Raw genomic sequence first — 26,412 nt, forward strand, 5'->3', positions numbered from 1 at the left:
TATCGCACAGGAGGCTGACAAGAAATAGGTGCTAAAGTAACGAATGAAGATCTACAATCCAACAAATGACACTGTTCGGGAGCTCAGAGCTTTAAAGCAGTGTGATGTAGTTGCAGGAGCGTAGGGTGTGGAATCAGGCAGATATAGTGTTGTTGGATTGTAGATCTTCATTTGCTCATTTAGCACCTATAGGTTTATTCATTAACTTAACACCTATAGGTTTTGGCTCTGCTAGTTTGCTAGCTGTCTGGCCTATGGCAAGTTACTTTACTCCCCTTAATCTCGTGGTCTTCATCTGTAAAATGAAATAATAATCCCAACTTCAAAGTTGTTCTGAGGATTCCTTGAGATGATGACTGTGATGGTGTTTGACACTCTGAAAATGCTGATCCCAACCCTATCTCTCCTTAAATCATGTCAGTTCAGTAAGGAATTTACATAATGAACTATCTATTCAGTGGGAGAGTTAGAAAGCGGAAGCATCTGTTTATTGCCACAAAAATTTATAGATTAAGTTTGGGCAACATAGGGAGAACCTATATCTTCTTAAAAAAAAAAAAATTATCCGGGCATGGTGGCAAATGCCTGTAGTCCCAACTACTCGGGTGGGAGGATCACTTGAGCCACCGGGGGTCAAGGCTGCAGTGAGCTGTGATCTTGCCACGGCATTCCAATCAAGATGATAGAGCGACACCCTGTCTTAAAAAAAGTTGATAGTTTATACATTTATTTATTCATTTACAGATCTGTAGATTACAAATTACTCGTGATGTCTTAAGGTATTTGTTGTTTTGTTCTTACACGTGTGTTATTTTGTGTTTACAAAAGGAAAAGACATTTCATAAAGCTATTGAATCCCGAAAAGTCAACTTTAATTTTATTTTTATTTTTTGAGGCAGGGGCTCACTCTGTTGCCCAGGTTAGAGTTAGGTGGCGTAATAATGGTTCACTGCAGCCACGATCTTCCGGGCTCAAGCAATCCTCTTACCTCAACCTCCCAACTAGCTGGGACCATAGGTGCGTGGCACCATGCCCGGCTAATTTTTAAATTTTTTTGATTAATTAAGTGGGATCTCCCTATGCTACCCAGGCCAGTTTTGAACTCCTAGGGTCAAGGGATCCTCCTGCCTCAGCCTCCCAAAGTGCTGGGATTATAGATGTAAGCCTGAACAATATGAGGCTTTAAACACTACTTCTCAAAGAGCCTTAGCCAGTTCTGGTAGGATAATAACCTCGGGGCAAGTGAAAACTTGGAGAGGCAGGTTGTTCCTAAACTTAATCTTCTCTCTTGAAGCATTTGGTGAAACCTATAAAATTTGGGGGCGTGCAAATTAAGTGTACTTGTAAATATGGTCTGAAAAAATGCATTCACTGTATTTTTGCTTCCCACTGTTTAGTATAACATTTATCAGAGAGGCAGAAAACATGCGGATAAAAATATCCAGTTGTGTATTCTCAGTTGGTATCAAAAGCTAGGTCACTGAAGGTCACTGCCCAGCAAGTCCCCATGTGTAAGAGAGTGTTGGTATGTAAGAGTGTTTCTGATGTTAAGGAATTCTGTTTGCTGTGATGCGAGTTGTGTACATCTCCTTGATTTTTCTCCCCATATGTAACCAAAAAAATGCTATCCTGGATTTTATTTCTCTTTCACAGGAATGGGAAGGAAAAGTGTGGAGTCCGTGTGGATTTCTCTTATTTTATCTGTGGCTTGAATGTACATTTCTGAGAGAGGGTAAGTGAATCCACTCTCCATGTTTTCCTTTCTCAATGTTACTTCCTGTTCACCTTTCTCCTTATTCTTAAGCCTCTGAGGGTTACAATGGGGTGTGTGTGCAGGACTGCTACTGCCTAAGGGAAAATTACAAAGCTGCCTAGGCAGCCTGATTTATGAGGCATTGAAAGGCACATCTGACCAAAAATATCCCCACCACTGGCCTGCCACCAGTGCCTGAAATACCTATGATTAGAATCACCCATTAAAATGTTTTCTGCAGGCCGGGCATGGTGGCTCACGTCTGTAATCCCAGCACTATGGGAAGCCGAGGCGGGCGGATCACCTGAGGTCAGGAGTTGGAGACCAGCCTGGCCAACATGGTGAAACTCCATCTCTACTAAAAATACAAAAATGAGCCGGGCGTGGTGGCGGGCGCCTGTAATACCAGCTACCTGGGAGGCTGAGGCAGGAGAATCGCTTGAACCCAGGGGGTGGAGGTTGCAGTGAGCTGAGGCTGAGGTTGCTCCACTGCACTCCAGCCTGGGTGACAGAGTGAGACTATCTCAAAAAAAAAAAAAAAAAGAAAGAAAAAAAAGTTTGCAGACATGCCTGGCTTCTTTGGGTCATGAAGGCATTGTGTTAGGAGAAAATTGGGAAGTGGGAAAGTGGGAAAGTATTGCATTATAATGATTTATATTATGAACCTATCAATCTCTTGGTCAAGAGTAACATCTTGATAAGTAAGTAGACTGAGGCTGGAGGGAAAGTTGGGAGTTGAGAGCTTTGTCCAGCATCTTGGTGTACACCCTGTGCAGGATGAAGTCGACAGGTAGCTGGGGAGAGATTGTACAAAGTGGATTGAGGGGTAGAGATAGCAAAGACAAATTTAGGTATTTCACAGGTCTATACAAGGCCAGGTTAGGAAGTAAGGGTACATAATTGCCAGAGGAATCTCCTTTCTGACTGACTTTAAGGAATCTCTCTTACCGACTCTACAGGGCTGTTATGTGAGGTTCTTTCAATTTTCCTTTTCCATCATCTTAGTTTTGGGGTAACCATAACAGGACTAATGATTCTGTTATTCATAAAATAATATTTGTGACAAAGGCCAAGTAGATTCATATCCGACAAATCCAAGTGGATTTGTCGAGTCTATTCTGTAAAAGTGTCCAGAGCAGTGCTTCTCAAAGTCTTGTCTGTAGACCACCTCTATCTGAGTTACCACAGGTGCTTATGAAAATCTCCCTCCCCGGGCCCCATCTAGACCTTTGGAAACAAGACTCTCTGAGGTAGAGGCCTGGGTCTCTGCATTAAAAACAGCTGTGGGGCCGGGCGCGGTGGCGCACGCCTGTAATCCCAGCACTTTGGGAGGCCGAGGCGGGCGGATCACGAGGTCAGGAGATCGAGACCGTCCTGGCTAACACGGTGAAACCCCGTCTCTACTAAAAATACAAAAAATTAGCCGGGCGTGGTGGTGGGCGCCTGTAGTCCCCGCTACTCGGGAGGCTGAGGCAGGATAATGGCGTGAACCCGGGAGGCGGAGGTTGCAGTGAGCCGAGATCGTGCCACTGCACTCCAGCCTGGGCCACAGATTAAGACTCGGTCTAAAAAAAAAAAAATCAATTTTAGTATATGGTAAAAGTAATGGGTTTCCCTAATTTCCTGGTTACCATTGTTTACGGTTTCTGTATTATTTCACCTTCTGTAGCTTTTCTGGCTCTTCAAACACAATTAACAGCAGGAAAATTAGATGGAAAATTTTTGTAATAAATATTCAGAAATACCTTACATAAATCATGGTGTCTAGCAATGGAAGAATTGATTAACTGAATATATTCTACCTTGAAATATTCTGCATATTTTTACTAGAACAAACTGCCTTTTTTTATTTTTATTTTTTAATTTGAGACAGAGTTTTGCTCTGTTGCCCAGGCTGGAGGGCAGTGGTGTCATCTCAGCTCACTGCAGCCTCCACCACCTGCAAACTGCCTTTTTCTAGCTGTTGCTTTCCTTGATTCTCTTATATCATTATCTTTTGTTTCCTGCCCCTATCTCCCTCCCCTTGGTTGACAAAGTGCCTACATTCTCTATTTTTTCCCATTTCCTTGTCTCTCTCTGGTGTAATTCCTTCTCATTCATCTTGCAAGCAGAATTTCTCTATACAGCAAAGGTCAGAGCTGACAGGACTGATCTGAAATGCTGTTGAATTTCATAGTTGCTCATTCAAGATCATTACTGATACATGCAAAAGTGGACCTTCTGCCAAAATCGACCTCAGAAAATCAGACCAAGAGGAAAAGGGCAAAGGTAAAGAAGAGACTCTTGCTGGGCAGCGGCTGATGCCTGTAATCCTAGCACTTTGGGAGGCTGAGGAGGGAGGATTGCTTAAGCCCAGGAGTTCGAGACCAGCCTGGGCAACATAGCCAGAACCCAGTCTCTACAAATAATTAAAAAACAATCAGCTGGGTGTGGTGGCGTGCATCCAGCTGGGACCACAGGCTACTCAAGAGGCTGAGGCAAGGGGATTGCTTGAGTCCAGGAGGTTGAGGCTGCAGTGAGCTGTGATCACGCCACCACACTCCGGCCTGTGTGACAGAGTGAGACCTTGTCTCGAAAAAATTAAAAAAAAAAAAAAAAAAAAAAAAAAGAAGGGACTCTTACCATTTCCATTTCCTCTTAATATAAATGACATTAGGCAGCATTACTCTGATGGCGCTGTAACCATAGGAAGGAGTAGAAAATGACACAGCCACATAGTGGTATGATAGAATACATTACAATTTGGAGTGTGTAAAAAAAAAACCGGAAGAAAATGCTGATTTTCAATTCTCTTCCCTCAACTAAAGAAACAGGCGTGAAGGAAAATGGTGCAGTTGGCATTATCTCACATGGACTCCTTTCTAAATGCAAGAATGCCCTTTTAGGAGCTGAAATATGAACACTGTGAGTTAGAATGCATGGGTTCAAATTCAGACTTCACAATTATTATCTGACTGTCCTTGAACAATTTAATCAGTCTCCTGCACCTCTGTTTCTTCCTCTGAGAAATGGGAATAATAATAGCATGCACCTCAGGGGTGGTTAGGAGCATAAAATGGGGATAACACCTGTAAAGCACTAAGAAAAGTGCCTTGCATGTAGTAAACTCTTAATTGCTGCTTGCTAGCATTGATATATTTTTTCTTTTTTGAGACAGTGTCTTGCTCTGTTGCCCAGGCTGGAGTATGGCGGCAAGATCATGGCTCACTGCAGCCTCGACCTCCTGGGCTCAAGTGATCCTCACCTCAGCCTCCTGAATAGCTAGGACTATAGGCACACACCACCATGCCCTGCTAATTGTTTTATTTTTTTGGAGAGACGTGGTCTCACTATGTTACCCAGGCTGGTCTCGAACTCCTGAGCTCAAGCAATCCTCTCACCTTGGCCTTCCAAAGTGCTGGGATTATTTTTTATTCACCAAGTTTGAAATCTTTGGTAGTGTCCTAGCTGAGGAGGCATCCAGGGAGTTTCTGGGCAGAATAGTTAACCGATACTGTGAAAATCTGCTAACAGTGGTTGTTTTGCTTTTTGGGAAGCAGCGTTCCTTGTCTGGCTGCTGTTCCCCCCTGGTCACATGGGCACACTATGATTAAATCATTCCTAGTAAATCTTGGATATTCTTGGATTTAATAATAAATTAATTACTAATGATCACACTTTGGAACATGTTTCCCTGCCTGTGACATACTAAGAAACTAGAAACGTATTCAGCATTTACCAAAACACTCTTCCTTTTTTTTTTTAAGACAGGGTCTCACTCTGTGGCCCAGGCTGGAGTGCAGTGTTGCAATTATGGCCTTGATCTCCCAGGCTCAAATGATCCTCCCACCTCAGCCTCCCAGGTAGCTGGGATTACAGGCATGCACCACCACACCCAGCTAATTTTTTGTGGGTTTTGTAGAGATGAGGTCCTCCTATGTTGCCGAGGCTGGTCTTAAACTCTTGGGCTCAAGTGATCCGCCCACCTTGGCCTCACCAAGTACTGGCATTACAGGCGTGAGTCACCGCACCTGGCCAAAACCCTCTCTTAATGGAACATACATCTCACATTCTGGAAATATCTATTATCCCAGTGCATATTTCTTTCTTTCTCATGACTAACATTCTGCTTTTTTAGTTATTCACATACATAAACTGACTGATAATAAATCTGGGAATTTGTCATTTAAAAAAATGCACATTTCAAACACAATCAGTAATCCTCAAACAGTAGAGACATGTTTACATTTCTTTGGTTAAAGTGTAGGAACACAGGGACTAGGGAATCATTTTTTAAAAAGTATTTTCAGACAAATCATTTTCTGAGAGACTTAAAAAAAGAAACTGTCAGTCATTTGAGGCATACCCTTTTGCTTCTATTCCATTTTTATCATACCAATCTCTCTTGCAAAATTGATGTTATTCATAAATGTTTTCCTTCCAAACTGTGGGAAATAAGATGTGAGTTTGGCCCTTTGATAAAGTTAGGCTCAGGGACTGCTTATCATTGAAACAATGAGCACAAAAGCGATTCAGTCCTGGGACTTCTCACAAAACTCAGCGGGCCAGGCGGTGCTCACTCTTGTTCTCAGGCATTCCAGGGGAGTGGCAGAGGGACAGCCAGCACGAGACATTTTCAAGGTTGTTTTTCCCACCCTTTAGAATTGGTAAATCTCCGATCGTTTAGAAAAGGATTTGTTTTGCAAGAACCTAAAGTGTCCCCAAGAACTATGTTTACCCATAATAGGCCTTGCTCTCTGTTTAACAGAGCCAGATGGACACTGCTATTTGGCTCATGGTCATATCCCCACAGATTTGACCTCATTTAGAGGACACTATTAAAAGATTATCCTATTATTGAGAATTTCCATTGCATCAAATAGCAAATATTAGTAAGATTCCTCTACAGGGAAAATGATGTAAGAAGAGGGTAAGACTGTGTTGACCTCAGGCAAATCACATGGATAGGTATGTGGCAATTATGAAACTCAGTGCTGACTAATAAAGCCCAGCGGCACACAGAGTAAAGGTCCAGGAGCAGAGACTTTCCCAGTAGCTCTCGAAGGAAGTGTTGAGGTTCCACTGAAGCCATAGATGGAAATCTTATTTGACTCCGTTGCCTTAGTACCAAGATGGTTATTTTGAAAGAGGCTAAGGAGGAGAAAGTGCATGTAGCAGGATGGCAGGATGGGATGTGGGGATGATGGGATGATGGGATGTTGGGATGATGGGATGATGGGATGATGGGATGATGGGATGTTGGGATGACGAGATGTTGGGATGTTGGGATGTTGGGATGTTGGGATGATGGGATGATGGGATGTTGGGATGACGAGATGTTGGGATGTTGGGATGTTGGGATGTTGGGATGATGGGATGATGGGATGTTGGGATGATGGGATGTTGGAATGTTGGGATGATGGGATGATGGGATGTTGGGATAATGGGATGTTGGGATGATGGGATGATGGGATGTGAGGATGTTGGGATGTTGGGATGATGGGATGATGGGATGTTGGGATGATGGGATGTGGGGATGTTGGGATGATGGGATGATGGGATGTTGGGATGATGGGACGATGGGATGTTGGGATATTGGGATGATGGGATGTTGGGATGATGGGATGTTGGGATGATGGGATGTTGGGATGATGGGATGATGGGATGTTGGGATAATGGAATGTTGGGATGATGGGATGATGGGATGTGAGGATGTTGGGATGTTGGGATGATGGGATGATGGGATGTTGGGATGATGGGATGTTGGGATGTTGGGATGATGGGATGTGGGGATGTTGGGATGATGGGATGATGGGATGATGGGATGTTGGGATGATGGGACGATGGGATGTTGGGATATTGGGATGATGGGATGTTGGGATGATGGGATGTTGGGATGATGGGATGTTGGGATGTTGGGATGTTGGGATGATGGCATGTTGGGATGATGGGATGTTGGGATGTTGGGATGATGGGATGTTGGGATGATGGGATGATGGGATGTTGGGATAATGGGATGTTGGGATGATGGGATGATGGGATGTGGGGATGTTGGGATGTTGGGATGATGGGATGATGGGATGTTGGGATGATGGGATGTTGGGATGTTGGGATGATGGCATGTTGGGATGATGGGATGATGGGAATGGGAATGGGGTCATGAGGGGGACAGCTCCATTTTCTTCTTTGCATTTACAAAATGGGGAACATAAGGTTTCTTTCTTTTCCTTTTCCTTTTTTTTTCCACTTTGGAAGCCAAATGATGCTCATAGGAAATTTAAAACTGCACTGGAAGGCTGCAAGTGATTTGAGAATTAAGACCTTAAGAAACGGTTTTAATAGTAACCTATCTTTTTGAATGTTGCTGGAAAAGGTACTTGAAAGAGCAATGAAGGAAGCAGATTCTAGTCAAAGGGGACTGGGAAGACACTGGGACCCAACAATTTGGTAAACTAGAAAAAATTAAACTTTCAGTTCTGATTTTACTTGAACACACTTTAAAAACAATTGGTTAAATTTTTTTTTATAAAATAAATTACAGGTCGGGTGCAGTGGCTCACGCCTGTAATCCCAGCATTTTGGGAGGCCAAGGCAGGTGGATCACCTGAGGTCAGGAGTTCGAGACCAACCTGGCCAACATGGTGAAACTCTGTCTCCACTAAAAATACAAAAATTAGTCAGGCGCGGTGGTGAGTGCCTGTAATCCCAGCTACTCGGGAGACTGAGGCAGGAGAATTGCTTGAACCCGGGAGGCGAAGGCTGCAGTGAGCCAAGATCAGGCCACTGCACTCCAGCCTGGGTAATGGAGCAAGGCTCTGTCTCAAAAAAAAAAAAATTACAAAAGTAGTACATGATTAGTGAAAGAAAGTCAAGCAATACAAATGTATGTAAAATAAGAAAGGAAAAATCTCCTTCATTCTTTGCCAGACAGGGACCAATACTGTTATAATCTGTCTCTCTTTCATAACTTTTATTTATGTATTTGAGACAGGGTCTTAATCAGTCACCCAGGCTGGAATACAGTGGTATGATCATAGCTCACTGTAACCTTGAATTCACTGTAACCTTGAACTCCTATGCTCAAGACATCCTGCTGCCTCACCCTCCTGAGTAGCTGAAACTACAGGTGGGCACCATCATACCTGGCTATTTTTCTTTTTTTAAGAGATGGGGGTCTCACTCATTGCCCAGGCTGGTCCCAAACTCCTGGCCTTACGAATCCTCCCATCTCAGCCTCTAAAAGTGCTATGATTGCAGTTGTGAGCCACTGTGTCTGGCCCTCTTTCAGAACTTTAAAAACACTATATATACTATAAATGTGTTTTTGGGGTGGGGCTAATTATGTATGTTCTGCGATTTTTTTAACTTAATGTTTTATGGACTTTTTTCTACTCTTTTTAAAAAAATTCTACTCTTTGGCCGGGCATGGTGGCTCATGCCTGTAATCCCAGCACTTTGGGAGGCCCAGATGGGCAGATCACGAGGTCAGGAGATCGAGACCATCCTGGCTAACACGGTGAAACCCCGTCTCTACTAAAAATATAAAAAATAGCCGGGCGTGTTGGCGGTTGCCTGTAGTCCCAGCTACTCGGGAGGCTGAGGCAGGAGAATGGCATGAACCCGGGAGGCGGAGCTTGCAGTGAGCCGAGATCGCGCCACTGCACTCCAGCCTGGGGGACAGAGCGAGACTCCAGCCTGGGGGATAGAGCGAGACTCCCTCTCAAAAAACAAAACAAACAAAACAAAACAAAACAAAAATTTCTACTCTTTTTGAAGTGGGTATTCGTTATTTTAAATAAAGTGAAATGGAAAATTCTGTATCTGATGTATTTAAAAAATATTTTTTGGCATGCTATACTTACCAACATGTTTTATAAGTTGCTTCTAAATGATAACCGTACTAGATAGTGGTCCACCTACCAGGATAAGATAGGATAGGTAAGAAGCTAAGAGACATGCTGCAGGTGAAAAAGCAGATTTCATAAGACTATGTTTAGTATAATTCCAATGATATAAAACGTACATATGTATGCACAGAAAACAGTCTATGTTATAGACACCAGAGTGCTAATGGCTCTTATCCCAGGATGGCTGGCGTATAAATATTTTTTTCCCGTTATGCTTTTTCTGTGTTTTCAACAATGAACATTTATTACTTTTAAAATTAGTTAAAATTAATGTAATATAAAAATCACAATGTATCTGATGAAAAAAGTTTGTGTCTAAAGGCTACAGAAAATAAATCCATCTGAGTTAGCTTCCACTCCATTCCAAAACCCCGGAGTAACAGAAAGTCGGGTCTTCTTTTATTTTCTTATATTAATGAATTAGATTTAAGTTCCCTCATTATGAGAAGATAATCTTTAGCATCACTGAAAGAGTTAAGAAATGAGACAAAAATCAGATCATATTCCTTTATTACATATATGAAATATAAAAACAAATTAACAAAGCAATATATATATATATTTGCAAGTCCACAGGACTTCAGAGAAAAAAAGGTTCTGTATGTGAAATTATTCATATGGCACTGTGTTCATGTTTTGTATATTCAAGTACAAAAGAAACTATGTATAGTGGTTATGCGTGGGTACAGAAGATGAATAATAATGAAAAACTGTGATTTTTTGACTATCACATACATTGTGTTAAAAAACAGGTAAATATAATGACTATTACTGTTAAGAAAGACAAGGAGGAAAACTGTTTCAATGTTCAGGTTTAAATACTAAGCACAAAAATATAACAAATTCTGTGTCTACAATAATTTTTGAAGTGTATACAAGTGCATTGCAAATGAGCTCTTTAAAATTTAAAGTCCATTTCCCCTTTAGCCAAGCATATGTCTACATTTATGATTTCTTTCTCTTATTTTAAAGTCTCTTCTGGTTTAGTTTTTTAAAAAGTTTCATCATGGCTGTCATCTTGGAATCTAGCCTCCAGCTCAAAGCTGAGACTTCACGCATACATATTCTCCTTTCTGGTTGCATCTTCACCTAGTTTCTCCAAGTATTCAGAGTTAAATAGCACAACTTCTTTTATATGGTCACTTTTGTCCACATGTAGTGGCAGTGCTGCTGCTTCAGTAGGCTTTCTCACACACCCTTTTCCTTCTTTCAACAGCAGTCACCAAACGTTCACAACACAAGTGGTAGGTAGTAAAGTGCTTTATACAAGGAAATACTATATACACATGGAGAGGTTCCATTTAACACCTACAGACCAAAGTTCATGCGTAACACACAAGAGAAGGCTCTTTAACAAACACCTTTTCTGATAGTAGGGTTAGGGATTCCTTAAAACGTCATTCATTACTTTAAGTAGCATCAAACGTAAGTAACATCGCTGAAGCTGGAAGGCGTCCTTGTTAGAGGTACTGCCCTTAATGGATTACTGCTAAATGTCATGCTGCTATTAAAATATTCTTAATAGTTAAGAATTTCAGAATCAGTCCCATAGAAAACAGATATCAGTGTAGGGGTTTTCATTTCTCTTCATGAAATAAAACTGTATTTAAACATGGGTCCAGAAGAGATAAGTTAGATAAGACCCATGCATTCAAACATTTCTATATGTTTTGGCACTTTAAAAAATTCCAGTTTCCTGTCTGAGGTCTTCTTGCTCTAAAGTTTGTGTTTTGTACATAGACAAGTGCCATTATGTGCTATCCATCTTAATGCTACTTGCACTCTCTTTTTAAAATATCCATGACTTTTCTTCCAAGAGAAGGTTTCCAGTGCTGGACAAAGCTTTTCATATTCACAATTAGTTTGCCTGTTCTTATATCCTCATGTCCTGCTACAAGGTATTCCAAACCTAAAAAAGAACAAAATTAGGGGCTATACAGTATCATACTTTGTTGAAGGGAGAGATGTGACTCCAGCAGGTTTTCTTTTGCATTTATTTTGAGACAAGGTCTTGCTCTGTTACCCAGGCTGGAGTGTAGTGGCATAATCCTGGCTCACTGCAGCCTCAATCTCCTGGGTTTAGGTAATCCTCCCTCCTCAGCCTCCCAAGTACTTGGTACTACAGTTGTGCGCCACCACTCCCAGCTAATTTTTTCATATTTTTTGTCGAGATGGGGTTTCATCATGTTGCCCAGGCTGGTCTCGAGCTCCTGAACTCAAGCCATCTGCCCACCTCGGCCTCCCAAAGTGCTGGGATTACAGGTGTGAGCCACCACGCCTGCCTGACTCCAGCAGTTTTATATATTCAGGGTTGGAATAAGGAGTAAGAAACATTAATAGCTGCCATTTAGTAAGCATTTACTATGCTTAGTGCATGTATGCTTTACATGTATGATCTCATTTAGCTTTGAAAATAACCCTGTGAGGTAGATAATTTTTTCCTTCTTGTTTTGCAAATGAGGAAACTGAGGCTCAGCAAGGCTAAGAAACTTGTTCGATATCTTTTTGTAAGTATAGCAGCATCTGGACTCAAACTCAGGTCATGCTGAGTCTAGAACCTTTCCTTTGTACTATACCATGCTCTATGACAAAAGAACTGAGGGTTCTAAGGACACTTATCATACTGCCCTAGATCAGTACATCTTGGATACTCACTGTGTATGGTAGTGTATATTAAGGAGGTTTTTTTTTTGTTTTTGTTTTGTTTTGTTTTGATTTTGGATGGAATCTCGCTCTGTTGTCCAGGCTGGAGTACAGGGGTGCCGTCTTGGCTCACTGCAACCTCTGCCTCCTGGGTTTAAGCAATTCTTGTGCCTCGGCTTCCCAAATAGCTGGGATTGCAGGCATGCACCACCATGCCTGGCTAATTTTTGTTATTTTTAGTAGAGACAGGGTTTTACCATGTTGGCCAGGCTGGTCTCGAACTCCTGACCTCAGGTGATCTGCCTGCCTCGGCCTCCCAAAGTGCTGGGATTATAGGCATGAGCCACTGTGCCCAGCCTAAGGAGGATTTTTATAAAAGTGAAACAAGCATTTGGGAAAACATATAGGAAAGAAGCTATGAATTTAGAAAATAACACATATTCCCTATATAAAGCCTATGTGTTTTTGGAATAGGATGTTTGTTTGTCATACATTAAAAAAAAAACTAAATAAATGATAAAACTTGCCTAGATCTTGTGATGACCTTGTATTCAAAATTCGTTTCAAGCTTTAGATAACAAATTTTAGCTAATATATCCAAGAAATGAAAGGACAGTCTCATCACCTATAGATTAGTAAAAAGAAATACAATAATTGCCCTTAGTTAATGTTTGTAATAACGTAGATTTTGGTATTTAGGAACGATTTTTAAAAATTATAGGGTAGATAAAATAATTATGTTTATAAAATAAAAACTTTCCAATATAAAATAGAGGCACACTTTTAAAAACGAAATTAAGTGAATGCTAGATGCTAAAATTCAACTGAAAATATCAATTTAATTTCACAAGTTGATTCATTGCTCATTTTTCACTGAAATGACTGAGAAAAAAATGTCATCCAAGTAGTAATGAACACCTGTAACAACCATACAGGCCTCTTGGAAAACGGCTTATTCCAGGTTCAGGGCAGGAAGTTGAGCATGGGACATCTTATTGTATTAAAAAACAAGAAAGCTTTCAAAGATGAATGTGTGTCTTTTTAAAAGGACACAGCAGCTAGCAGGAAGGGGTTATAACTTGTCAAAGTTGTGGTAAGTTGAGCACCAAGAAACATAATAATTGTGTTTATGAAAACACATTAAATCCATAGAAATCCATAATTCCAAAATGACACTAAAAAATGAGAAAGCCAGAGAAAAATTAACTTGTCATCTTTAGAGGTAGCTGTTAAAACCATTTCTTACTTTGAAAATTAGAAATTACAGGGAAGGAATGTAGCATTTATCCTGTCTTTACAGTAAGAACTGTATTTCATGATAACCTAGTTGCCCAGCTTGGGAGAGAAAGCCCTCTTACGGAAGAATGCCAGCTAATAAGAGAAGAGAATTCAAAAGAATTAGAAAAACATCATTTCTCAGACTCTAATGAAATTATTGATTCAGGAAAGGATTATCAGTTGGCGATAAAGTCATTAAATGAATGATTAATGGAAAGCTGGATGCTTGTAGAATGCTACATAATATCACACTCACTCTTTTCTATCTCTAAAGGTAAAACAAAACTTTGGCAATGGAGAGATCAGACTGCCTTCATTGTAATCCAAAGGTCAAGCTTAGAGACACTGATGGGAGGTTATCCAGGTACCATGTGCATTTGACATGATTCAACATGAAGCACACCATGATCTCTATAATGGACTCTAGCCAAAATGTTTGTCTTGAATCAATCAAGCCTTTCTTTAGAGATTACAGAAGATAGAAGAGATAGAGGAATAAGCTAAACACCACCATAAATGAACCAACCACACAAATGTTGATGGTCAGATAATGGATAGGGCATCTGACCTGGTTTCCTCAACAAGTCATAAAAAAGGAACTGTGCTAGAATAAAAAAAGAGTTGAAGGACTGAAAAACTAGATATAACGTGTGATCCTGGATTGAATACTGGCAAGGACACATCAGCTGTAGAGGACATTTTGGGATCAGTTGGGAAATAGAAATATGACCTGAGTATTAGATAACATGAAAATCAACTGAAATTGAAGGTAAAGCTTATTAACAGAATAATGCAGGTTACAGAATGGAGCATATACTATGATATCGTTTTGGTTAAAAAATATAATACATACACACAGAGGAAGATTGGAAAGGATTTGCCTAAGCTATTAACAGAGATGATCTCTGGGGGATAGAAATGTGAAATTTAAAAATTTCCCCTAAACGTCTCCCCTCCCCTCCCCTTCCCTCCCCTCTCCTTCTGTTCTTCCTTTTTCTTTCTTTTTTTTTTTTTTTGACAGGGTCTCACTCTGTCACCCAGGCTGACGTGCAGTGGCACCATCTGAACTCTGTAGCCTCCACCTCCCTAGGCTCAGGTAATCCTCCCACCTCTGCCTTCTGAGTAGCTGGGACAACAGGCTCATGCCACTAAACCTGGCTAATTTTTGTATTTTCTGTTAGAGATGGGGTTTCACCATGTTGCCCAGGCTGCCCTCGAACTCCTAGGCTCAAGCAATCCACCCACCTCAACCTCCCAAAGTGCTGGGATTACAGGTGTGAACCACTGCACCCTGCTAAAAGATTATTAAAAGAAACTCATCCTAAACTTCAAAAAAGCTATTATGGTGTTTTCAGAAAAAGAGAAAAAGGAAAATAATGACACAGAGAGGTTTCAAACACTGGAGAGTACAATGTAAAATGAATGAAAAGGCATTTAAATTATAAAAGGCAACCTTAACTTCTGCATGAAAAAGAATCTCAATATTTAATTAACAGACTAGTTAAAAATATAATAGCCTTAAATTGTTTGTATAATGTCTAAAATAATAAACTCCTCATTTAAAAATACAATAATCAATTTTTAAGAAACTTCAAGGTTAGGGCTGGATGCAGTGGCTCTCGCCTGTAATCCCAGTGCTTTGGGAGGCCGAGGTGGGAGGACTGCTTGAGGCCAGGAGTTTGAGACCAGTTTGAGACCATAGCAAGACCCTGTCTACAAAAACACAAACAAACAAAAATTAGCTGGGTTTGGTGGCATGTCTATAGTCCTAGCTACTCAAGAGGCTGAGGCGGGAGGATTGCTTGAGCCTGGGAGGTCGAGGCTGCAGTGAGCAGTGATAGTACCACCACTCTAGCCTGGGCAACAGAGCAGAGAACCCTGTCTTTAAAAAAAGAAAAAAAAAGAAAGAAATCAATCTCAGGGTTAAGTCTAGTATTTTTACATGAATTTACTTTGAAACTACAAATAGAATAAACAGGAATTTACCATTAAAGTATAAATATAAGTTAAATTGATAAAAACAATACTGAATAAAACCATAAATTATGAAGCAGCATCACACCAAAAACAAATATGCAAAACAATGTTCTTTTATACCTCTTATTAGCATTTATATTTTATTTTCCTATCTCTAGGGTTTTGACATCTACTTTGCTACACGTCTGAGAACACGAAGTTTATTTTGTATCCATAGAAAAAGAAGATACAATACTTTAGTGCTAGTTTTGGTGTTCTAAAATATATGACTGATGAATGAGTAAATGTATGCATGAATTAAGAATGAATGAATATGCAGGGATACCCAATAGGATTGTTTCTTTTCCAAAGTAGCCAAGGAAGCAGGTTGGCGTGTAAGGTTTCAGTTTTCTTATCAGCTTTCTTTGGCCTTGGCTGTTGAACTTGTAAAAATGGAAAAACAAAGTAAAATGAAAGAGTGTCTGGTTTTGCTTTGGCAAGTTCCAGTCTTTTCTTCAAAGCAAGTAAACATGTTTTCAAGAATTCTTTAAATAATTGCGCTTATGTTTTCAATTGTGATGAACTCAGTTGATTCTTTGACTTGGCTTGGCAGAAACCTGATTAGGAAGTATAGTTCACTTCCTGGAGGGTGGCTCACATGGTCAAAGCTTTTGTTTTTAATGTCTCACTAAACTGGGCAGACTTTTTTTTTCTTTTGCCAAGACAGTAGGAAAGCTCTTATAAGAGATGCCTCTAAGCACAAATCACTGGGAAATAGAACTTACATGAATTATTTTTAGTGTCCTGTATTCAAAGCTCAGGATTCTTATTACTTCAATTTGTTCTTTGGAATTTTATTTATGTATTTTTAATTTCTTTTGAGATAGGGTCTTGCTCTGTTTGCCCAGGCTGGAGTGCAGTGGCTCAATCATGGCTCACTGCAGTTTTGACCTCCCCGGCTCAAGTGATCCTCCTACCTCAGCCTTCCAAGTAGTTGGGACTACAGGAATTTGCCACCACACCCAGCTAATTATTTAAAAAATTTTTTGTGGATACTGGGTCTCACTATGTTGTCCAAACTGGTCTTGAACTCCTGGGCTCAAGCTATCCTCCCACCTTGGCCTCCTAAAGTACTGAGATTACAGGCGTGAACCACCATGCCCAGTCTATTTATTTATTTATATAATTTAAAACATTATTTTTCACAGTTTCCTTATTAAAATCTAAATTAATTTAAATATATTATTGAAAGGGTAGAAAAGGATGTGAGAGATTGGTCAACACTTGGCCAAAATCAAAAGTTCTGTATCAATGTTGAGTTTGTTTAGACTGAGGGGATATTTTATTGTTAGTTTATGCTCTCTTTCTCTTTCTCTCTCAGTTATCTGCTTCTCTCAAATTTATTAATCAATCAAAGACCGCAAAAGACTTTGTTTTTTTGAGATGGAGTCTTGCTCTGTCACCCAGGCTGGAGTACAGTGGTGCGATCTCAGCTCACTGCAACCTCTGCCTCCTGGGTTCAAGTGATTCTCCTGCCTCAGCCTCCTGGGTAGCTGGGACTACAGGCACATACCACCATACTGGGCTAATTTTTGTATTTTTAGTAGAGATGGGGTTTCACTGTGTTGGCCAGGTTGGGCACAAAAGACTTCTTATTAATGTAACAATGAGTTTATATGGGGAAGGAATAAACTCATATAAACAATGAGTTTATATGGGGAAGAACATAAATAATGCACCTGTTTCATCAGTGCCGCTAAGACACAGATGACAATCACACAAGCAGGGAGATGCAGAGGATTTTTTGAATTATGATTTGTTTTATTAGAACCTGCTAAGTATTATGTTACCATTATCTGGGTACTAATGGTAGGTATTGAAGATACTATGATCAAAAGCCTAAATCCCATCCTCAAATTTGATGAGGGAGACAGAGAAATAAGCAGCTTATAACCCAGGATAACCATGCGCTTGGGGCAAGAACCCCTGTGCTTATTTATTTGTCTTCACTTCTGCTATAACATTTAAAGGTGCAAATCAAATTTCTCTCCATTTCAAGTTGCTCTAAAATCCTACAGTTTTTGTTTTGTTTATTTCTGCTGTTTCTAATTTGAAACCAGAAATATCATTTCATGAAAAACAAGATGATGAGAACTTGAGAACTGTTTTCTCTCCAAGAGAAACAGATGCTTTTCAAGCAATAGTCGAAATGAATTCAATATTATTTCCACAGATGGAATTTTGCATTTGAACTTCCTTTGGGAACAGGTTCTACTGTAATAGGACCTAGCTTTCAGATAAAGAGTAAGTGGCAGATAAATTCATGAAAGTGCTTTCTATGCAACTGGCACCTGGAACCAATCTGAGCCTCCTCTTTTAGGATAGAGAGTATTATATTTCTGGATTTTAAAATATTAAACTTTTATAGAGCACATGGAAGAGAAATAATTTTTCGATGTTAGTTCAAAGAATTCCATTTGGATTTTCCGCAGGAGTCAGATGGTGAAAGGGAGAGATGTTCTTGCTGAGTTTGTTTATGTTGTGCTTCAGAGGATGTAAGACAAGCAGCAAATCAGCAGAGACAAGGTAGGTACTAAGATAGGAAAGTCTAATACTCACCAGGATTGAGGATTGGACAAGTGCATCCTCTGTCCGTCCATGATTCTGGATATAATGTTCGCTTTCCTCGGAAAATCTTCAGTTTGGTAGATTTTAAGACCTTTTTAATCTTCACATTGACCTCAACATGAGTACCTTTATCATGAGCTGATAAAATCTTTATTTTTAGCACTGTTAACACAGAAGTCAAAATGCATAGAATTTCATATTATCATTTGAAGTTTGAATAACACTCAAGTATGCATTTCAGAATATAATGGAAAGGTGAATTGATGATGAGGATGTGAAAATTTGCTTTAAAAATCATTAGGCATTAACTTGGATGGAGTTAGAAGCCATTATTCTAAGGAAAGTAACTCAGGAATGGAAAAGCAAACCTCATTATATTCTCATTTGTAAGTGGGAGCTAAGCTATGAGGATGCAAAGACCTAAGAATGATATAATATACTTTGGGGACTCAGGGGGAAGAGAGGGGATAAGGGATAAAAGACTATATATTGGGTACAGTGTACACTGCTTGGATGATGGGTGTACTAAAATCTCAGAAATCACCACTAAAGAACTCATCCATGTAACCAAAAACCACCTGTTCCCCCAAAACTATTGAAATAAAATAAAATAAAAATACTGAATTAAAAAAATCATAGGCTCATTCAGTTTTGCACTGGCTTTATCTCGTTTATCTATATTAACTATATTCTTATTTGTTAGGCAATTTCAAATGTGACTCCCTCCAATATCATTATCCTAAGAGAATATCAACCATTTGCCTATTGCAATTATAATCTTAAATACATTCAGCTACCACATCTAAACAGAGAGAGGAAACATAGGAAGTAGAATTATCCTGGCTTTTATTTAGGTTCTGACTATATTATTCTTTTGTGGCTGATTGTGTTTAATGTTATGATAGAGAGAAAAATGCTACTCCTAGAATATATTTTGCATATTCCAAAGAGATTATATAATATGATTGACTACTTAATATTCTTCTCCTGGAATAAAATGCAAGCTGACTGGAGTTAGGGAAGCTGTCCCTTAATGGGTGTCCAACCTCTTGACTTCCCTGGGCCACACTGGACCACACATAAAGTACACTAACACTAATGATAGCTGATGAACTGAAACAAAAAGTCTGTGCATAATTTTTGTGATATCCGCCACCACAGATAAACCAAAAAGTCTTCACATTCAAAGGGCTGGACACCCATGCATGATGATGGAGCTCCAGTATTCTGTATGACTTATGATTCTATTACGCCCTCCCATTGATGAAATTGATATGGCTGGGGATTAAGTAATGGAATAATTTGGGGTCGGAAAGAAAGTAAAGCTAAGGATCACTGAGCTACTCAGGAACACTAGGGAACGTAGGGAAGTTCTTTTTTTTTTTTTTTGAGATGGAGTCTTGCTCTGTCATCCAGGCTGGAGTACAATGGTGCGATCTTGGCTCACTGCAACCTCCGCCTCCGAGGTTCAAGCAATTCTTCCTGCCTCAGCCTCCCGAGTAGCTGGGATTACAGGCCACCACGCCCGGCTAATTTTCATATATATATATTTTTTCACAGGGAAGTTCTTATCGGCTTATCCACATCTCCATGGAAGAGTGTGTGTAATGAGAGCACTCTATCTTGGCTGGTCTCATACTCTGCGAATACAGCGTCAGACAGCTATCTTTATGGAGTCATCACATTTTAGACTTCTAAGGGGTCTTAAAAGCTCATGTATTTTATACACGAGGAAGCAAGTTTTAAGAAATTAAGGCCAGGTGCAGGGACTCATGCCTGTAATCCCAGCACTTTGGGAGGCTGAGGTAGGCGGATCACCTGAGGTCAGGACTTTGAGACCAGCCTGGCCAACATACAGTGAAATCCTGTCTCTACTAAAAAATACAAAAAATTTAGCTGGGTGTGGTGGTGCATGCTTGTAGTCCCAGCTACTTGGGAAGCTGAGCCAGGAGAAATGCTTGAAACTGGGAGGCAGAGGTTGCAGTGAGTCCAGATCACGCCACTGCACTCCAGCCTGGGCGACAGAGCAAAACTCCATCTCTCAAAAATAAATAAATAAATAAATAAATAAATAAAACAAATAAATAAAGTGAACCTTTCAAGTTCACATAACTGGTTGGCTAGAGGTAGAGTTTGGGCTAGAACCCTGATGAGATAAATGCATGAAGGACAGGGAGCATAGTGCCCGGCGTGTGGCTAACGCTCAGTAAATGTTCGCTATTATTATTCCACTAGACTTGTAAGCTAAAAGAGAGCAGGGACCTTGTCTGTCACTTCTATTGCTCAATAGATATTTGCTAAAGGAGTAAGCAAGTAAGTCAAGTGTTTTTTTTTTTTTTTTCTATTAAGCCAGGGAATGGGGAGGAGGAAACCAATTTTTTCCAAGTCTTAGCAGTATTGCACTTAATAAGACCAAGATGTTTCATTACATTAAGAGCGTTCAAATTCTTCTTAAGTAGAAAATTAATGCAGTTGTATTAAAAGATTGGTTATTTGTAAATTCAGAGAGCTACCAAGTTGATGTGATAAGGAAAACCAGTTGATATTTTCACTGAATGAACTGACTTTGAACTAAATTATCATATTCTTTGCTCTTAATAGTCAATGCCATTCCCTCTAAACTGCCTTTCCTTTATTGAGCGCTGTACATTTCAAGTTTTCTTCTATTGTTTAGCCAAGTTAGAAAGTAGAGAGGGAAGTGTACATATAATTTTAGATAAGATTCATGAGGTTTTTACCACTTATTTACTTTTTAAAATCTTGTATGAGATTAGAGACAATGTTATCCAGAACCTAAATACTTGGTTTCATAAATGATGACTTAAAATTTTCTCCTCATTGTAGTGTATATTTCAGGCCATATATATTATAGACCAATAAAAAGTCTCAGGCTGGGTGTGGTGGCTCACGCCTGTCATCCCAGCACTTTGGGAGGCCGAGGCAGGCAGATCATTTGAGGTCAGAAGTCCAAAACCAGCCTGGCCAACATGGTGAAACCCCATCTCTGCTAAAAATACAAAAATTAGGTCAGGCGTGGTGGCTCACGCCTATAATCCCAGCACTTTGGGAGGCCGAGGCAGGCGGATCACGAGGTCAGGAGTTCGAGACCAGCCTGACCAACATGGGATAACCCTGTCTCTACTAAAAATACAAAAATTAGCCGGGCATGGTGGCACATGCCTGTAGTCCCAGCTACCTGGGAGGCTGAGGCAGGAGAATTGCTTGAACCTGGGAGGTGGAGGTTGTGGGCGTGGTGGCATATGCCTGTAATCCCAGCTATTCAGGTGGTTGAGGTATGAGAATCGCTTGAACCCAGAAGGTGGAGGTTGCAGTGAGTCTAGATTGTGCCACTGCACTCTAGGCTGGGCAACAAAGCGAGACTCTGTCTAAAAAAAAAAAAAAAAGTCTCAGACACTAGGCAAGAATGTGTTGGCAAGATATGATATCTTAATATATTTAATAGTAAATATAAAGCCATTTGAAGATAGTAACAGTCTTTACTTAGGCAGTGCCATTTCCCTTTTTGTACAGGATGTATTTTCCTGTTATTTGAAAGATAGGGGTATCTAGAGTATACAGAGAGGGTGGGGAAGAGACCCAGGTGGACAGCTGGTCTCAGTGCCTCACAAGTAAGACATCATCTCCCTCCCCCTACCATTTACCGAGCATCAAATATGTGCTAGATAATGTGCTGCATGCTTTTCAAACATCTCATTCCACGAGGAAGGTGGCATGATCCCTATTTTACAGATGAGGAAACAAATTTGGAGAGGTTAAGTCTCCCACCAATAAGCCAGAAATCAAACTCACATAGGTCTGAGTCCAAAGCCTGTGCTCTCAACTATAATGAAATGCTGCCTTAAACTGATTTCTACTCAGTATTACTGTACGACAAACGAACACAAGAGTCACTGAAGTGGCTAGAAATGTCCCTTTTGGATGAATAAGGCAAGAAGTATCCACGAGAAAGGATTTCATGTCATGATTTCTTCTCTCTGCTCTCTGCCTCTTTTTCTTATGGTATAATAACTCTACCTTTGCTCTACAAGCATTCTGTCCTCCCTGGGACATCCATCACCAACTACATCAGGAAAATCTAGCTCAAGACCAGAACACTGTGTTTAGTGTTATTATGTAAGACTAATGCTTTGTGCTTTCATTTATACACAATGTCATCAGTCAGGCCTCCCATTTTCTTAAAAATTCTCTGAACTTAGTGTGAATAGGTTCTCAGAAGCATTCAAGGATTTCAGACTCACCATATGAATATTTCATTCCACAGAATGCCTTGGCATTTCCTAATGTCTGTTCCTTACATTCGCATTTACCTATGGAAAGTAAATTAAAAATGGTGTTAGTTATTAGAAAAGCAAAGAAAGAAAAAATAAGAGATCAGCAAGTGTATCCAGATAACACATCCCTTAAGCCTTGAGTGATGCATACAGTGTAATCTGTAAGTACCAAGGAACCACGAAAGTCATTCAAAAGAAGTAGAGTCTCTTTCTAAATTAGTTATCTTCCAATAAAGTATTCATCCAAGAGAAATACAGAAGGTAGAAACAGTGATGTATTTCAATGCTTGTAATTGATGTTGTGATAAATACAGTCTAGTATTAATATTCCATGCTAACAGGAAGGAAAAACTGAATGGAAAACAATTGTCTTTCTGCAGTTAATGTTCACCACCACAAAAGTGAAATTAAATAAACTGATTGGGCAGTCCCTTGAAGGTAATGTCGTTCAATTTTTTTGTTGTTATCCATTTAAAAAGTATTTATTGAGCACTTTTGGTATGCAAGGCATGGTGCTTCGCACTTCAGCACCATAAAGATAAGCAAGATACAATTCTTGCCTTAAGGCTTGCAATTCAGTAAGGTGAAGAAACCAAGTGTACAAAAAGTGATAAAGTGATAAGTGGTCTGGGAGAGGTACAATATACTTGGGTGGAAGAGTCACATGTGTCTGGGAAGATGGGAAAAAACTTCTTGGATCAAGAAGGATTTAAAAGGGACTTTGAAGAATAAGTAGAATATTTTCTCCCAATAGTTTAAATTATATATTGCCACTATTACATGTGAGAGATTTGCCAGGCCCTATGGAAGACTTTCAAAATGCCTTTGTGCATAGTTTATTTTATGTATGTATGTATGTATGTATGTATGTATGTATGTATATATTTATTTATTTATTTATCTATCGAGATGGAGTCTCATTCTGTCACTCAAGCTGGAGTGCAGTGGCGTGATCTCAGCTCATTGCAACCTCTGTCTCCCGGGTTCAAGCAATTCTCCTGTCTCAGCTTCCTGAGTAGCTGGGACTACAGGTGCACACCACCACGCCTGGCTAATTTTTATATTTTTAGTAGAGACGGAGTTTCACCATATTGGTCAAGCTGGTCTTGAACTCCTGACCTCAGATGATCCACTAGCCTCGGCCTCCCAAAGTGCTGGGATTACAGGTGTGAGCCACTGCGCCCAGCCTGTACATAGTTTATATGTAGCAGGGGACCCCAAACCCCTGGCCGTGGACTGGTACTGGTTTGTGGCCTGTTAGGAACCGGGTCACACAGCAGGAGGTGAGCAGCTTGAGAGAGAGCTGATTTTCATCTGAATTTACAGCCACTTCCCATCACTCAAATTACCGCCTGAGCTCCGCCTCCTGTTAGATGAGCAGCGGCATTAGATGCTCATAAAAGTGCCCACCCTACTGTGAACTGTGCATGTGAGGGCTCTAGGTTGTGCTCTCCTTATGAGAATCTAATGCCTGATGGTCTGAGGTGGAACAGCTTCATCCTGAAACCATCCCCTGCCCCTGCCATCCATGGAAAAATTGTCTTCCATGAAACCGCTCCCTGGTGCCCAAAAGGTTGGGGACCACAGATATATAGCATTCTCATACTCATTTATATATTCGTTTCCTCTCTAGACTGTGTCCCTTCAAGACAATGGCTATATCTTATCAACCTTACATTTCTGGAGCCCAGCATGGATAGGATTTGCACTCACTGATTTAACAATTAGATATACTTTTTCCCCTTTCCTGCCCCCTCCTGCCCTCATGCACTGCATTTCATAGGCATTGAGTGGTCATAACAGCAGCTAGTGCTTACTGAGGAGCACTTACTGTATACCAGGCCGTTTTAAGCATTTTACATTAATTTACTCATTTAATATTCTCATAGGTAGAAATCTGGGAAGATTATAGAGATAAAAGAGTGAGCAGCCAGGTGTGGTGACTCATGCTTGTAATCCCAGCACTTTGGGAGGTCGATATGGGTGGACTGCTTGAGCCCAGGAGTCTAAGACCAGGCTAGGTAACGTAGTAAGACATTGTCTCTACAAAAAAGATTAAAAATTGTCGAGCACGCAGGCGCAATGGTCGGGTTGCGGGGGGCGGGCGGGGGGAGGGAGGGGAGGCGGGGGCAGGGGGCGGGCTGTGATTCTAGAATCTGAACCCCAGCTGGCACTGCCTCCCAAGCCCGCCGCCATGGCCGCCTACAAACTGGTGCTGATCCAGCATGGAGAGTGCATGGAACCTGGAGATCCACTTCAGCAGCTGGTACGACTCCGACCTGAGCCCGGCAGGCCACCAGGAGGTGAAGCGCAGGCGGGCAGGCGCTGCTAGATGTTGGCTATGAGTTTGACATCTGCTTCACCTCAGTGCAGAAGAGAGCGACCCGGACCCTCTGGACAGTGCTAGATGCCATTGATCAGATGTGGCCCACCTGTAATGAGGACTTGGCGCCTCAATGAGCGGCACTATGGGGGTCTGACCGATCTCGGTAAAGCAGAAACTGCTGCAAAGCATGGTGAGGCCCAGGTGAAGATCTGGAGGTGCTCCTATGATGTCCCACCACCCTGCTGGAGCCTGACCATCCTTTCTACAGCAACATCAGTAAGGATCGTAGGTATGCAGACCTCACAGATGATCAGCTATCCTCCTGTGAGAGTCTGAAGGACACTATTGCCAGCGCTCTGCCCTTTTGGAATAAAGAAATAGTTCCCCAGATCAAGGAAGGGAAATGGGTACTGATTGCAGCCCATGGCAACAGCCTCCGGGGCATTGTCAAGCATCTGGAAGGTCTCTCTGAAGAGGCTATCATGGAGCTGAACCTGCTGACTGGTATTCCCATTGTCTGTAAATTGGACAAGAGCTCGAAGCCCATCAGGTGCATGGAGTTCCTGGGGGATGAAGGGACCCTGTGTAAAGCCATGGAAGCTGTGGCTGCCCAGGGCAAGGCCAAGAAGTGAAGGCCGGCGGGCGGACTACTGTCCCCAGGAGCACCCTCCTTGCCTGGTGTGTCCCTCTGCTCATCCCTCCTGCACACGCCACACTGACCACATCTGTAGGCATCTTGAGCTGTAGCTGCAGATGAGGACCAGTGGCTCCCATTTTCGTTTTAGCCATTTTTGTCTCCTGCACCCACTCCCTTCATTCATTCTAGTCAGAATAGCACTTCTAGGGCATGGGTTCTCAGTCCAAGCTGTGGAAAAGCTCCCCTTGTCCAAGAGAGTTTAAAGGTAGTGACTTGGGTTTTTGCGACCGCTTTGTTTACTAAGAACTTGTGGGGGAGGAACCATGCTAAGCCATGACCAATGAGGAGAAGCAAGAGAGCCTGTCTGTCCCCAAGAGCCAGTCCTCTGCTCTTCTGTAGTCAGGCCACTGCCTGGGAGCTCTAGTCATTCCAGTGGAAGATGAATGTAACTCGCATGGTGATGTGACAGCTGTTTCCTCCCTGACCCCAGAGGAGATGGCTCTAGAAGGTTGGGATCAATCCTGAATTTAGCTTAGGTGTTACATTTACTTTTATAAAAAAAAAAAAGTATAGTATATATAAATAATACAAAACCATAATCCTTCTCGGATCTCTTGTGGCAGTTGAAATAGTCCCACATGTGGTCATCAGAAAGTAAGCCATTCCTCATACTAATATGGGATAAGCTCCTTGACCTCAGAGGAGTAGGAGTGCTTCCTGCTGTGTGTTTTAGAATCCCTCTGCTGCCTTGTTTCATGGCAGTAAAATGCCTCTTGGTCCTGTCCAAGTGTGTCTTTCACTGACTGATTTCTGAATCATGTTCTAGTTGCTCGGCCACATGGGTCCAGTGCTCATTTGAGCATCACTGTACTAAATCCTTTCTCCAGGAATGAGTATAATAAAGGAGTTATGTGCAATTAAAAAAATTGGCCTGGTGTGGTAGTATGTGCCTGTAGTCCCAGCTACCCGTGGAGGGGAGCATTGGTGGCACTGAGGTGGGAGGATTGCTTGAG

General features: G+C 41.1%; 1 protein-coding gene and 1 pseudogene across 5 annotated transcripts in view, besides 1 other annotated feature; one reads left to right on the forward strand and one right to left on the reverse strand.

Moving 5' to 3' along the window:
• The first annotated feature begins 1,580 nt into the window (after positions 1-1,580).
• Positions 1,581-26,325, forward strand: PGAM1P5 (phosphoglycerate mutase 1 pseudogene 5; annotated as a pseudogene). Its single transcript, NR_077225.1, has 5 exons — positions 1,581-1,732; positions 18,009-18,102; positions 22,817-22,874; positions 23,346-23,467; positions 24,604-26,325. The product of NR_077225.1 is annotated as a phosphoglycerate mutase 1 pseudogene 5 (transcript).
• Positions 6,219-6,513: a silencer, noted in NCBI's record as "tiled region #15569; HepG2 Repressive non-DNase unmatched - State 8:EnhW". NCBI's record gives its function as "represses a minimal TATA promoter and a strong SV40 promoter by Sharpr-MPRA in HepG2 cells {active_cell/tissue: HepG2}" and the evidence as "EXISTENCE:reporter gene assay evidence [ECO:0000049][PMID:27701403]".
• The window catches only part of NTN4 (netrin 4), a 133,349-nt gene continuing 117,069 nt past the window's right edge, over positions 10,133-26,412 (reverse strand). For 3 of the 4 annotated variants that reach the window (NM_001329701.2, NM_021229.4, NM_001329702.2), the window contains exons 8-10: positions 22,404-22,472; positions 18,136-18,306; positions 10,133-11,548 (exon numbers count right to left, since the gene is read on the reverse strand). In NM_001329701.2, the coding sequence (NP_001316630.1) occupies positions 11,412-11,548; positions 18,136-18,306; positions 22,404-22,472 (377 nt within the window). In that variant the 3' untranslated portion in view covers positions 10,133-11,411. The remainder of the gene's footprint in view (positions 11,549-18,135; positions 18,307-22,403; positions 22,473-26,412) is intronic. The other variant, NM_001329700.2, reaches the window with a different exon arrangement.

Source organism: Homo sapiens, chromosome 12 (genome assembly GCF_000001405.40).
Source record: "Homo sapiens chromosome 12, GRCh38.p14 Primary Assembly".
Taxonomy (NCBI): Eukaryota; Metazoa; Chordata; class Mammalia; order Primates; family Hominidae; genus Homo; species Homo sapiens.